Here is a 15,953-nt window from a genome sequence, read left to right as displayed (position 1 = left end):
TATTGACATGATCTGTTTTCAGATTTCCAATAATTTACTCAACACTGGGTGATGCATAAATGTAACTTACCATGGGCTAACAGTCACTGTGCTAAATGATTGTCAATTATTATATTGTGCAAAGGATTTTTACTTTGCATATAACAGGTGCTCACGTTTGTTGGACCCGAAAACTTGTTATGAAAGTTTATACAACATGACGTTTGGGACATGTAGGATTTAAATTGGCAAGATGCACAGAGTAGTTCAAGAACATGCCACCTGCAAAATTCTTAGAAAGAAATTCATGGATATAGACAGTTTCCTAAAAAGTAGCTTGAAAAATCACACCTTTCCCAGTCCAATCATATTTTATATTGATTTACATTATCTACTCAGAGCTCTTAGTCTTCATTGTAGATTGATCTTCAGTTAGTTCAGTCTTCCTTTAACTGAACTTCTCTGCTACTTCCTCTTCCAATCTGCCTGCCTCATCCTGAATAGCTAGTGATCTAAAGCAACCACTATCCAAAAAAATTCCACCACTGGTACGACTAATATATATATATATATATATACACAATTATATATAATATATACAATGTATACAATTTATATATTATATATTATATAAAAATTATATATACACACACATATATATATAAAAAATTTAGTGTCTAATCGAAAAAATTGACCACTGCTTTTTTTCTAATACATGATATTTAAATTTTCCATGTCAACTTTAAGAGGAGAAATGTACCCCTTTTTCATTTTGGGAAAAAAACGTATTATAGAATAATCACAGTATTGGATTATGTATTGCAGAAACTATGAATCAACATTTTTTTTAATGATGAGTTTAATTTAACTTCAAATTAATTTCCACACCCTTTTCATTAGTTTCCCTTCTTTCACATGGAAAGTTTTATTGATTCACAGGGAATTAATTTTTAGCCCAGAAAAGTAATAAAAGGTATGACTTTGGAGTCAGGCTGACCTAGGTTCAAATCCAAGGTCAGCACTCATTATATTTGTATCTTTGGGCAAATTATTAAACTTCTGGGCCTCTAACCTTAATTATTAAAGCGGTGACAAGAATAACTCACAGAATTATTAAGAGGATGGAAAACAATATGTTAAACCACTTAACCCAATGTCTAGTATATTGTAGCTGTGTTTATTACTATTTTTTTCATTATTTATTGCATTAGTAAGTAAATACTCATGTATTTACTCGTATTTCTGATTCAGGCTTTACTGTCTAAAGAAGATTGCTGACTTTCAGCAGGAAAATGAAAAAATTACCTTACAGCCATATATTTGCTAGATTTAAAATATATTTTTTAATAAATAATGGAACTTGGCTGAATAATACCAAAATGAAATCTAACAATAGGATGTTGGTTTTATTTATAACAACCCAAGGAAGTTGTGATTCACTCTGTCATCTCAAGCTCTGCATTTGATAGGATTATCATTAGAATTTATGGTGTTCGTGGGAACGAGACTCAGACAGTTGGAAGGTAAGTGTGGAAAATGCCTTAAATATGAATTCACTATAAATCATGAGAAGTACACTGGTACTAAAAGAAATAATATGTGTCAGAGAATAATTACATCAACAAGTTTGTAAATTGCCTAGAAAGTTGACAAATGGTTCTGATTTTCAAAGCAAACTAATGACACTGGAAATGTGTCTCTTCCACACGCCAGCTATACTGCGTAACACATTACAAATATACATCTATATATTATATATCCCTACACACATTTATAAAAATGTGAACCCCATCTAAATAAACAATGTTACTCTATGCATCAATCAAGTTTTACTTTCTATTAGTTTTTTTCATCTAATTAGTCACACAATCTGTCCATAGTTTACTCTTCTAAGGTAAACTCACAAATAGTTGATTCTGCCACCTCTCCCTTATATGAGCTATAATTAGTTTGGTATTTTCCCAACAGTATGGTTTCCAAAGGCCAGGATGGCAGGTGTTGGATATAATAATTCCTGTACTTTGAGGTTAGATGAATACAAAGCTGGAAGAAAAAAACTCAAGTCTTCTAATAGAAATTTATTGTGCCAGTTTCTCACCAGTCAGATTGTCAATCACATCTCATTAGTTTCCTAATTAAACTGTAAATGCAATACATACATACAGATCATATTTTCAAGCTACTAAAATATAATATTCATTTTCCAAAAGGCTAATTACTAAACCTAATAAAATATAATTCTATAACTGTAATGATTCAAACTTGCCAGCAGAAACCGAACAATAAACAAAGTGTACTGAAGAGTAACATTGTTATTCTTGCGAGATTTTTTTAATCAATCAGATTTCAATGATCATTTTAATGATGAACCAAGCATCAACTACGATAAATAAATAGCAAATAAAATCAAACGACTATCTTTTGCCTACTCAGCCTTCTTTTTACCGCTTCTTTTTGATTATCCTTAAGAAAGCAGAATGATTTTTTTTAATTCAAAGCAAGACAGAATTAAATACGAATGCCCAGTGAAGACTGTGATAAAATTTTCAAGTCTATAGGCACAAAAGCTCTTTCTACAGTATCCTTGCAGTATGATTTCTTAAGTGGGAGATCGCTTGACTTGACAATGGTTCATAAAAGTATTTTGATCAATGGAAACACCGCAATGAGAAAATGCTTCCTGGCACTTAGAAAAAAAGTCAGCATTCATTTCTTTGCACATGTAGGGAACACTACCAGAGGCAGAAAAAAAAAGTAACTTTTATTTTTCCTGAGTGAAATACAAAAAAAAAAGCAGTTATATGGAATAGACTTTGTACTTGTTTGTACTGGAATTTTACATAGGGAAAAGGTGAGATACTTATCAGATGGATTGCATTTAGTGTTACATGTAGAGGAAGAGGAAGAATGCATAATTACTTTCTAAATTAGAGTAACAGATAAGGCAATTGGAAGGTGAATATGGAGAGAGATTTAGCATTGAGGTCAGCAAGGGACTCTTATAAAAAGCCCTGAAAACCACAGTTACTAAGAATCTGTGAAGGGCCTGGATGTCAGTGATCCCATTCAGGCAAAATGAAGTTAAGTTTGCAGACTTGGGAGAAAAAAATGATCTAGAAGAAAACGCACATGATTTAGCATTGTAATCTCTACACATTGATTGCCACTTTGCATAAACCAAATAAATATTACTTTCATAAAGTTTGGTATTAATTTCACAGAATTCAAAACGCAGATATACTTTACCTTACACCAAAGTCAGGATCCTCTAAAGTGGCAATTAAATCATGTTTTATAATTACACACAGTGGTATTTCAAGGCTGATTTGAACTTTTTAATGACGGCTTTGTGCTATCTTATTTGAAATAGTCGATTGTTGCAATTCATTAACTGTTTTTATTTGTTGTCACGGATTTTAAAGTCAACTTTTAATTTGAGAACAGATTTAGATTTACAGTAACATTGTGAACCTAGTACAGAGAGTTCCCCTATACTCCACACCCAATTCCACCTGTTTCTAATATCTTACTTTACTGTGGTTCATTTGTCACAATATCAATTGTGACTAATATCGATACATTACCATCGGCTAACATCCATCAGAATTCCTTAGTTTTAACCTAATGGCCTTGTTCTACTCGAGGACCCCGCCCAGGATACCACATCTCATTTATTAGCCATCTCTCCTTAGGCGTCTGTTGACTATGACAGTTTCTCAGACTTCTCTTGATTTTGATGACCGACAGTATTAAGGACTGCTAACCAGATGTTTTGTAGAATATCCTCAACTGAGACTTCTCTGATTTTTTTTCCATAATTAGACAGAAGTTATGGGTTGTGGGGAGGAGGACCACACAGGTAATGTGCCATGCTCATCACATTGTGTCAAGAGTACATACTCCTCACATGACTAATCACTTGACCAAGTGTTCACAAGTGCCCATTTCTTATCCTCTGCTTTGCCTTGACTAGACCCTAGGCCTTGACTAGACCATAGATCTCTCCTCTCCACAGATCCATGAACTTTGTTTCTTTCAAGCCTGGGCAAACATTAATTGCAGAACATGCCTCCCTTATCAGTTTATCCTGAGAATCAACTTACTACAGCAAGAGGCATTTCCTGTCTTACCATGCTGGTCACTCTTCTCCCCTGCTTGACCAATGTATTAGTTTGCTAGGGTTGTCATAACAAAAACACCACAGACTGGGTGACTTAAACAACAAAGTTTATCTTCTCACGGTACTGGTGGGGAGAAGTCCAAGATCAAGGTGTCAGGTCTCTCTCCTTGGCTTGCAGGTGGCTGTCTTTTCGCTGTCCTCACCGTGTCTTTTCTTTGCATGCGTGCATCCCTGGCATCTCTCTACATCCACATTTTCTCTTCTCACAAGAACGCCAGTCAGATTGGATGAGGGCTCAGCCCTACGCCTTCATTTAACCTAATTACCTCTTTAAAGGCCCTATCTCCAAATACAGTCACATTCTCAGGTACTGTAGTCCCACCTAATCCACAGTTTCAGTTTATGGGGTTCTAGTTACCAAGATAACTTTGGTCCAAAAATAAGTGGGTATAGCACAATAACATATGTTGTTGTTGTTGCTGTTTTCTGAGACAGAGTCTCGCTCTGTTGGCCAGGCTGCAGTGCAGTGGCAGGATCTCAGCTCACTGCAACCTCTATCTCCTGGGCTCAAGCAATTCTCCTGCCTCAGCCTCCCCAGTAGCTGGGATTACAGGTGCCTGCCACCGCACCCAAATAATTTATATATTTTTAGTAGAGATGGAGTTTCACCTTTGGCCAGGCTGGTCTTGAACTCCTGACCTCAAGTGATCTGCCCGCCTCGGCCTCCCAAAGTGCTGGGATTACAGGTGTGAGCCACCACACCTGGCCCACAATAACATATTTTGAGAGAGACAGTGACCACATTCACATAACTTTTGTTACAGTACAATGTTATGATTGTTCTAATATTATTGTTGCTAAATCTCTTATTGTGCCTAATTTATACATTAAACTTGATCACAGTTATGCATGAGTAGAAAATACAGAATGTATATAGGGTTTGTACTATCTGGTATCTACTTAAAGTATCTACTGTCGGTCTTGGAATGTATCCCCTACAGTTAAAGGGAGACTACTGTCCCGGGGATGAGGATTTTAAGATGTGAATACGGTGGCACAATTCAGCTCATAGCACACAATTTGCTTTTATATACTGCTTATCCCTTCTTACTCTATTAAAGAAGAGCCTTTTACTGTTAAATTTTGAGACACTTGCAGATTTCTGAGATCAGAGCTATCTACCTGTTACAATAGTCTTTTTGAATAAAGTTTCTCTTTCTCTGAGGAGTCCAGATTTGTTTTTATTGGATACACTTTTGATGTTGATTGTCACCACGTGAGTGAGGTAACATCTGTCAGATTTTGCCACTATAAAACCCCTGTTCCTCCTGCCCCTTTTTAATAGTGAAGCCTATGGAAAGCAGTCAGTAAAAGCATCCAACACTGAAGGAGTGGAGAATTATGCCCCATGTTCGTTAGAGCAGTGTATTTGCATGAATTATCTGCAATTTTTTTTTTTTGCATGGGAGATTCATCTACTCTCCCATTTACTTTTTTCAAGCATTTATTTATATCAGTATGGAATCACGGATATTTATTTATATTTTAAGTTATATTCTGAAGCTGCTTTACTTTATTGCTCTATAATTGATTTTTCAACCACATTTTAAGCCATCACTCAGTTGATTGACGTACATTCATGAATCTTAGCCAAACGTCATTCTGTAATTCATCTGAATATTTGATAAATCCAGGCGTGACCTGCAACTCCAACTGCTTATCTCCACGATTGCCTTAAACCAAAGTAATAGTGCAGGAAATCCAAAGGTAACTAACTGGTTCTTGTTTCTTAACACAGTGACAACTGAGAACTTTGGATGCTGTCACCTCGTTAATATCAGCACCGAGTACTAGCAGGTAATAGTGCTCCATCTAGTTTAGTTAAGCAAAATGTAGATGTTAAGTAGCTGTTCACTCAAACAGCTTAAAAACCCTTTAAACCTTCTACAAGCAAAAAACTCTGATAATAATGATCAAGAACAGCAGAACCATATAACCTTTCTTCCCAAAAAAGAGCAAAGAAAGCTAAACACGCACAAGGATTTGCTAACCAAATCGTAGCAAGCCCTGAAATACACAAGTAACTGTTGTATGATACGATTAAAAAAAACTTAGTGCATGTGTCTCATACTGTTCTAGGTACTTATTCACTTTAAATGGAGTTTCAGCAAATTTAAGAAAGTTAAGAATTAATTTTAAAAATTAAATCTTCTTTGTGCCCTCTTATAATTCCTTTTGTTATTTTAAATTTTGCTAGAAGTAGACAAACCTTGAATTTTGTCAAATGTAGATATCTATTACGGCCTTTGGACTCCCCCTGAGTAAGTCAGTAAGTCTTAGAGTTTCTATATGGACATATTTGTTTATATATCTGTTTACCTACATATTTATTTAAACCAAAAAAAAAATACATGCACACAACTCTAGACTAAGAAATGAGGAATGTTTATGAGAAATGAAGGCTTGTAAGGCTTGACCTCCATTATTTATGTAGAGTGGACTATAGATTGTCAGATTTAAATCAGGGAACTAATTAGGCAAGTGTTTAGAGATTCCACCATAAAAAAGTGTATTTTAAATATAATTTTAAGCAGATGGACATTGTAGTTTAAATGTCTAACATATCTGTAAATTCTATATAATTTTAAAAGTGACCTTATAGAATGAATTGGAGTGATTTGGTTAATAATAACATAATAATCAGCATTCTTGATTTCCAAAGAAATTCAAGTGGGAATATTTAAGTTGAAGATGATTGGCATTGACTCAATTACTTTGACCCTAACTGAAGAAATATGATAAACACAGTGTTGCAATATACATTGCACAGATGGCACCAGTTTTAAAATCTTGCTTATGTTTGAGGGAACAGTAACTCTTTGGCCAGTGAACCAGGCTGACTTAAATATAGCAAGCAAATCCTTTGTTTTTGGCTAGAGGCACTAAGCCCCAAGGAGAACCTATTTTCATTTTTACGACAGGACATGCACTGATATTTTGACATTTCCATGATTTAGACAATTTGGTTGAAAATAACCACTTCATAAATTCTGGGAATGATAAGGAAAATTGTTATCCGTTCAGTTTCAGCATTTTTACAAGGCTATATATATTTCAAACTTGTCAAATAAATAGACAAGAAAAAGAGAAAAGAAAATGAGCATAGTTGGAAGCAAGGATTAATTACTGAAGTTGATTAACTTAGTTGTAAATTTTTAATACCCTTTAGATCTTATATTCCTACGATTGCTTCCTTTTTGTTTTTCTACTGGGTATTATGTGCATTGTTAACTTCCACTTAGTAGTATGCAGATTCCTAGAATAAAATAGTAGATATTACATCTCAGTGGTTATAGGATTTGGGAGACACATAGAACTGTCTTTCAATTCTGGCTCTGATTTTTTTAAGTCAGGTGAGCCCTTGAGCAGGATGTTTAATCTAAACAAGTCTATTTACTGATTTTTAAATACGGATACTAATTTTGACTTCACACAGTTTTTGTAATTGGATAACATGTATTATCTAGTGTCTAGAGTAGCATATGGTTAAACAATCAGTATTGGTAGCAGTAACATCAGACACAGTAGGAATAATTATTAGTTACAAAAGTTCCCTTTGATCAGGCAATATTTTTCTCATTACACTTTGATCAAGGGCCTATATATGCCAATGTTTTGAAAGTGGGAGTGAGCAGTTGAATATGTTTGACTTCTTCTCCCCCTACCTCTAATACTTATTATGCTAGCAATAAGGAAGACTATTTTGTATCTGTTATGTTAGTCACACAACTTTAACCCTTGTATGGAGTTTTGTGGTACATGTGGTAAATGTGTTTATACTTGTTCCCATCTTTGCAAGATATTCCCTCAATAGTTCAAGTAGAGTGGCCCATAGATTGAACTAAAATGGATTTGAATCCGTGGACTCTTTCAGTCTGTAAGATTTTGATTCTTTTGACATGACCCTCATGCAACCAGAATACTTTCTTTCCCATCCAGGTAGAAACAAACAGCATGCATTCTTCACTGATACTGGGAGTTTCTTTTGATTATTTCAACCTTACCGTTTTGGCTTGGTGACAGTATTATGACTAGAGGGAAAGTTATTGAGTGGTTTGGGAGATCTGATTACAACATGCATAATAAATTTTGAAGTAAGAAAATGCTGAAGATGGGTTTTCCTACCCTTGTTCAGACTCTTGGAAATGTGACTTATAAAAGGAGGATTGAAAGAAAAAGGAAAATATGAAGCAATGAAATGCATGATTTTAAAGAACTCAATTATGGAGGAGTCCCAGAAGAGTTGCCTCTGGTTCATAAATCTGTCTGCTGTTTTCACTGTTCCAGCATGTACCACTTGCTTTTGTTTTATCTGTCTGGATAAATTAGCCAGCACAGAATCATAAATATCCTTAGTTAGCAAGTGTTGCTTTCCTTAGGGAAAAGTTCTCTTTCTGATGTTCTTGTTAGTTTGAGGTTTGAATTAACTGTTAAGAAATCAAAACAATTGTTATTATTCCTGTAATCACCTTTTGTTTCATTATGCCTTAATCACTGTAAATTACTAGAGGAATTAATCATTTTAAACACTTTGAACCCTGAAACTTCCAGACCAGACCAATGATACCATTCAAAATTTCTTTAAAATAAGGTTACCAAGCAAACCATATTTCTTATTCACATAATATTGTCATATCTATTATCTATCCTTTTACATATATATTAAAACTTTTGTAAGAATTTATTGACTCTACCAGATGTGCTACATTGATGGGGCGGAGAATGCATTTTCATTTGAACAAGGAATTTACACAGCCAACTGTGGTTTCTTACCATTTTTATGCACTTCACAGCCTGCGTTCTAATTTTAAATTAGGGTTCTGATGTGTGTATTTATACATAGCCATTCTTGAATCAACCTGTAACTGTAAGCCTTTGGGGAGTGATTGCGTTTGAACATCTGGACTCACCACATGTTTTCAGTTGGAACTGAAACATCATTTAGAAGACCTGGGTTTTTAAAGGGAAGATATGGTGATGACATTCTATAGGTGCTCCAGATGATAAGAAATGTATTCTTAACATATGATTTAGAATTTATTGCAGCAAATAGGGCTGTAAAAATGCTATTTTAGACTGAAGTAGTTTTACTAAAAAGCTTGCCATATTTCCTTCCCTTGCTTCACACAATTAAATATTCTGATTATTGTTTGAACAAAATAATAAACTGAATTATAGGACAACTTATAATATTTCCTGTGAAAAATTAATGAATATTTATATTGCAAAAAAAGAATCTTTGAGATAATATCAATTTGAAAGTACCTAAATTCATACTTCGTGTTTATTAAACACATTGAAAATTACATACTCTCTTTTGAGGTGTTAATATAATCTCTTTTAATCACAAGTAGAAATTTGCCTTCTTTATATAATTGCCTAATGTTTAGTATTTTTAAAATAATACTTAAAAGAGAATATAGATCCCAGTCTTCTCTTGCAGGAACTGAATTAACTTCTTTATTGGAACCCTATGGTTTGTATTTACAATGTATATATCTGTCAGCAGAAACTAATTAATTGGAAGCTGTTACCTTCTAAGAGCAACCTTAAAGCATGTAATATTTGCCTGTGCAGATTAAAGAAAAACACTGGAAGCTAATTTGAACAGAACTTTTCTGAAATGTCAGGAACCCTTTAATCTAATAAAGAAAGTTCACATAAGGGAAGACTCTTTAATCTCTGACTTTTCATACAGTACAAAACTAACAATTTAACCTTTCTCCATATGAGCATGTTCCTTTGCTGTTATGTATCCTACTATTATAATCACATTAGAACTAATGTATAAGCTAAGATGGTGTTGCCATTTTGCATTTACATGGTTTTAGGAAAGTAAATGAATGGATGCTATGTTTTAAAATTAGGATTGTTTCCATTTGTAAGTTCACACATATACTCCTGTAATTGTGGTTGCAAACAAACCTCACTTTGCCTGGTGGTTAGATTTCTAACTAGTTGTGAATCAATGTTTTTAGTAAAATTAATGGTATTTAATGCATTTCAATAAAGTTGTTCTTTAAAAACCACTTTGACTAGCTTTCTGGGAAAAATACGTCTTAAGATAATAATAAACTTTTCAAGTTAGCATTTTATGGAATAAACAGGTTTTACTATCCCAGCACTCCTTGAAGTAGGATACACCTATTACTATATTTTTAAAGATGATTGTATAATTGTGTATTGAAATATTATTAATTATTTCATAAAAACAATACAGAGATCAAATAGTTTTGCCCTTCAAAGTTTATGGCTATTTCAGTCTTTTGAAATATGACCTTTAAAATGTATACTGCAACTGACTTCAAAACAGCCAATCAGCATTTTACAATTATGATAATTCTTAACTTACTTGAACAGGCTATTGTATTTTACTTGTAGATAACTTAAAATACAACAATTATTTCAGTCCAAAAAATTCTTCCTAAGGGTCAGTGTTGACTGGTGCCTACAGGCAGCATGAGGAAGCTGTTTCTTGCCAGTTCTATGTCACTGAGATCAGCAAGAAGCTTTGACTTCCAGGATCCACACCACAGTCTAAGAAGATATTTAAGTGAAGTAACTGAGCCAGAAAACTAGCTGGAGGTCTCTCATTACTTATTCTTGCTTGTTATTTCAGAATTTTTAGTTGTAGCTATTTCTATTCATGCTTCAATATTAATATCATCATGAAAAAGGACTGGAGATTACAGTCTTTTTTTTACATTGTTGAGACTTTCAAAGGAACTGTTCGTGATTCCAGTGAAAGACTCACGTAATACCCCCAGAAATATAAAAATAAAATTCCTGTTGAAAATCAAGAAGAAACATTTCAGTAGACCAATACCACATCAATGAAAACAAAATCTATTTCAACAAATTATAAATAATTGATGCAGTATGCTTGCAGAGGACAGAGTTTATATCCCCTCAGATAGCAAGGAAATGAAATATTTTGTTTTTAACTTTTGTTACATCATCCAAAGCCTCAAAACTAACTTAACCAAATTCCACCTTAGCTAATACGTTCTGCATCACATGAAAACTCCCCCATGTCAAAAAGAGTATTACAATAACTATATTATCTAATCTGACATTACTAAAGATCCAGATAAGTTTACAACTTCTGATCTAGTTCAAACATAAAGTGACATTGAAAGAAAAGTTTTCCAAACTTTCTCTAGTAGAAAAGTTGAAATTCTAAAGAAATTGAGAGGAGGGACATATTCTTGCCAAAATATATCAGGTAATTGTTGAAAAAATACTTAAAAGTGTTATTAATGAGATGACTACTCCAATAATTTTTAAAAGGTTCTGTCTAAAACAGTTTACAACTCCAAGACCCTGAAAATCATAGTAATAATGAATTTACTCTTATAAGACATTTGTAAAGTTCTAACAGTTGGAAAAACTAGAAAGTTTGGAGAAACAAACATAATACTGAATGTTATAAATCATTAAACAATGCATATTGCTTTAATGTGTATAAATATAAAGTTAGTGCTTTTGTAGTATATCCAAGAAGAAAATCTAGAATATGTCTCTTTTTGGAGAAATGAGATGACTGGTCTGAACGATTTTTAGTAAGTAATTTTAAAACTAATGTTGAAAAGTTTCAAAACAAAGCACATATACTATTGTGTTGAGTATACGCATTCCTTAGGAAGAAAGGAAAACATATAAATCATATGAATAAAGAATATGAATATTAATAAACTTTGAAATAGTTTGTCAGTGACTTTTCTAACTTTATAACTTCAATAAATATTTCATGCAAGATACAATTTCAGTAATTGTATATTCAAATTTATTAACTAAGTAAAAAGAACATTTATTTTTGCACCTCATATGTGGCCACTGGGATTTCATTCATGTTGGATAAATACTATTCTTGATACCTTGTTTCCTTATCAGTCATAAAAGAAAGAGTATAGAGTTTATGTTTACTGAAAATATTCTTCCTTTTACAGACTGTAAAACTTCTCTTTTCTATTTTCATTCCCTTTCATCTTCTGAGTAATTTCGCATATTGACATATATTTCACATCAACATTTTCTTGCTTTTTTTTGGTGTACCCTAGGAGAGACTCTCAAATTAATTTTTTACATTCATGCCAGTTACTAACTTTCAAAAACTCCTAAAAAAAAGTCACTGTAGTAATAATTCATTCCTCCTTTAATTTTCACACCCTCAGTCAAATGAATATTTTACATACATTCCCCAAGGACTTAAACCTTTTGTAAGTGAAATTGGAAATGAAATAAGTCATGCACAAGAACAAGAATCACAAGTCTTCCAATGAATTATGTATTTTTAAATGCAAATGGTTCTATTTTCACAATACTTCACTGTTAAACATGTGCTCTGCTAGGAGCTGCTTTAATCTTATGCTACATATTTTATTGTATGTCAAAGTTAAAGCCATTAGCTATCCAAGGGTCAATCTAATGATGCCCAATTATCAGCAATTAAATAGTTCAGGTGTAGGAATTCAAATAGGAGCAGCTCTTATATAAAATACGGTTAATAGAAAGAACACCTCAGACACACATGGATAGAAAAATATATATATTAGATCGGGTAAATTTAAGCAAAAATGTCAAGGAAAGAAGACTTTATTATTAAATCTTCCTAGCTTTTAGCTTTGATCACAGACAACAATGTAATTTTACTTCCAAGTCATTGGGACCCTGAATGGGACAGCAGAATCAATCCAAGTTACAAGTGACTAATACTATGAGATGCTCTTATCAAAACAGAGCAGAGGAAAATTGTACAAGCCTCTTGATAATATTACTCCTATATCTCTATAGACATTCAACACATTATTAATATGTTTCTGTGATTACAGTTTTCCCAGCTATATCAACAACTCCGAGTGACCTCACCTGAAAGCTAATTTTATTTTGTAAAAACTGACAAGTGAAGATGGAGACCAGTTATAAAAACAAAGGTAATTTTGTAATTTTTATGTAAAGCAAACTCGAGACTCAATGATATCATACAGCATGTGAATTATCACCATCCTTGCATTTTCTCTTAGTCTTACAAATATTTCACATGTTCATGCTACCTATTGATGATATATGTATGTACACAAGATAACACCTTCTCAGTAAAGGCTAGAACAGCACATCTTTCTGACTGAGTAGATTACACCACATGGTAATGATGTGATCAAACTCCACAAGTTATGTGCCTCATCATTAGTTTCCCCAAACTATGAGGTTTAAAAAAAAAAAAAAAGCCACTAAACATATACACAGCACAGCACTGTAGCAAGAGAATAATTTTGGCTTATCCAAATGATAGTGAATAATTCAGTACATTTAGAAAAAAAAAATATATATATATATTATGAAATGCATCCCAGATCCCAGTTTAAGTTCAAGTTCCCAACTGTGAACTCAGAGCTCATGGAAATACAATTATGTAGATTCCTCTTAGCAAAGATTTAGTAGTGGTTCCTTCATTTAACAGCAGTTTTTTCTTAGTGAAATTATTTACTTGAAGAGAGGCTAATATGAAGGGAAAAAGGCAGTTCAACATAGACCAGGCACAATATAAAAAAAGTATTCATAGTTTAAAGTGTGTTAAAGTGTAATGATGTCACAAATAGACAAATCTTAACTGCGTCTTACCTGTAGTAGCAGAGTGTCTTGATACTGTTGAGTGTCGAAAAGATGCAAGTCTCTAAATTAGAAAACAAGGGGCTGTTTGCGCTCCCAGTTTCAGCACAGCCAGTGTTCTATGCGTAAGTAATAAATTGCCTCGTCAAAGTCGTCCCAGCCACGGTGTTCATAGGCAATAGTTAGAATCACTGCCCGAAGTCTTGCTTGATGCTGCTCCCACAGCCTCTGCCTTTGCACAGAGACCTAATGTAGGAGTGAGCCGGAGAACATCCTCTTCGCCCCCCTCTCTCCCCCTCCCTTTTGCGTGGTCTTTCTTCCTCTGTAGCTCACTCTCTCTCACGAATGGAGAGTTATCCTTTGGTTCATTCGGCAGTCAAAGAGGACAGGCTGGCAGGCAACAGTGCAGCTGCCCCCATGCTGAGGCACATGAATGTGTTGTGAATAAAGACAAAGCCCTGAACCAGTGCAGCACGTTACTCCCTGGAAAAGCGCTGCAATGATACTCTGCACTGCAACTCCTCAGGCAGGCAGGCAGGCAGGCAGGCAGGCAGAGCGGTGGACTGAATTTCCCTCGCTTTCCCTCCTAGGAACGTACATTATAAAGTTTGGCTCAGGACCTTGCTTCTCCTCTAAGGGACCACATTTTCTGTGGGTAAAAAATGTTTTATTAAATGTCTGGACACCCTGAACAAAACTATTTTAGATAGTTTTCTACTCTGCTAAACTTGGAGAACCTACCTCATTCCCAAGCTGTCGCCAAAGTAACTGAATTTTCTAACTTTGGAAGATAAAGATCAGGTATGTTAGGCCCCAGAAAAATGTTTTCATGGTAGGGGAAGATGAATTTCTCTAGTCTCAGTATTCCTGAGGGACTGAGTAGGGAGGGTTGGGGAGAGGTGAGCAAACAAACAAAAAGCATCCATATCTCACAGGTGCCAAAAATAGAAACTGAGATAAACTAAAGTGAAACTGATGAACGAGTCTGAAAGAAGGTAAGTGCAAAGAATTGAACAGAGTGAATTAATGGTACTCACTGGTTTCCTATAGCTATCATTCAGTTTTGATAACAAAAAATCATCCTACTTATATACATCATGTTTTGCTGTGGCTTTTGCAAGTATTAATAGACAAATAAACGTAGGCTAATATATACCACATATTTAAGAAAGATTTAGCAGATAATGGCCTACAGGTATTTGCATAAAGAGAGTCAGAAGTTGTTTTCATGCTAACAAAACTACAGGTGGTTACTAAACTATGGATACAGAACTTTGAGATGCACACTCTCAAATACTGGTCCTAATCAATGTATACTGTAACGATGAGACTTTTAAAGCACAATCATATAATGTAGGCAACAGTATTTGGTAAAATAATTAAGTATAAGTTAGGATGAGACTTTTCCATGAATGCCAAAACACCTGAAGTAAATAGTTGCTAGACTAAAATATAACTTTATTTCTATCCCTGATGAAAATGAAGTCTGCAGCTAAGTGTTCCAGGGCTAGATATGAGCTCCATGATATCAGGAACTAGGCTCCTTGTTGCTCCACCATTAGCAACACACTCCAAGATAGTATCTCAAGCTTTAGCCACTAAATTGGTATTCAAACTTCAGGAGCTGAGAAGAATGAGGACAATATGTTCCCTATTTAAGGACATACCTTGGAAGTTGAACATGACATGTTTTTGACTAGAAATTAACCATATGGCCAGAGCTTACTGCAAATGAGACTGGAAGACTGGAAAATAGAGTGTCTATGTGAAATGGCCATGTATATGGCTAAAAACCTGAAGAGCCTTTTACTTAAAAAGAAGAAAACAAGGGAATATGGGGGAAATAATAGTGTCTGCCATAGTAAGATTGATGGATATCGTAAGTGATATCACAGCATCCGTTTCACCTTTATTCCATTGCGAAGTACCGTGTAATTTAGGGAAATGATTTCATGTTGGGCAGCAGACCCTGTTGAGTCTAAGCCTATCATGGTAACAGCATCATACTTGGAAGTAATTGGTTAATAAACCCAGACCTGAACCAATTCGGGCATGATGTTCACTTGCTGATAGTCACTGGCTCAAGAACAGCATAGTTTCTTACACTGGCCCAGTGAAACGGAATGGAGGAAAAATTGTTCAGTGATGAATCAATGAGTTAGGGTCCAGTTTTAAGATGAATATG

General features: G+C 34.3%; 1 long non-coding RNA gene across 1 annotated transcript in view; it reads right to left on the bottom strand.

The window, feature by feature from the left end:
* LINC03000 (long intergenic non-protein coding RNA 3000) overlaps nt 1-14,272 on the bottom strand; it is a 765,030-nt gene extending 750,758 nt beyond the window's left edge. The window contains exon 1 of the long non-coding RNA XR_001742489.2: nt 13,781-14,272. This is a non-coding gene — a long non-coding RNA (long intergenic non-protein coding RNA 3000). The remainder of the gene's footprint in view (nt 1-13,780) is intronic.
* Between the last annotated feature and the right edge of the window lie 1,681 nt (nt 14,273-15,953).

This window comes from Homo sapiens, chromosome 5, assembly GCF_000001405.40.
Source record: "Homo sapiens chromosome 5, GRCh38.p14 Primary Assembly".
NCBI lineage: Eukaryota > Metazoa > Chordata > Mammalia > Primates > Hominidae > Homo > Homo sapiens.
This window is presented reverse-complemented; position numbering and strand designations above follow the sequence as displayed.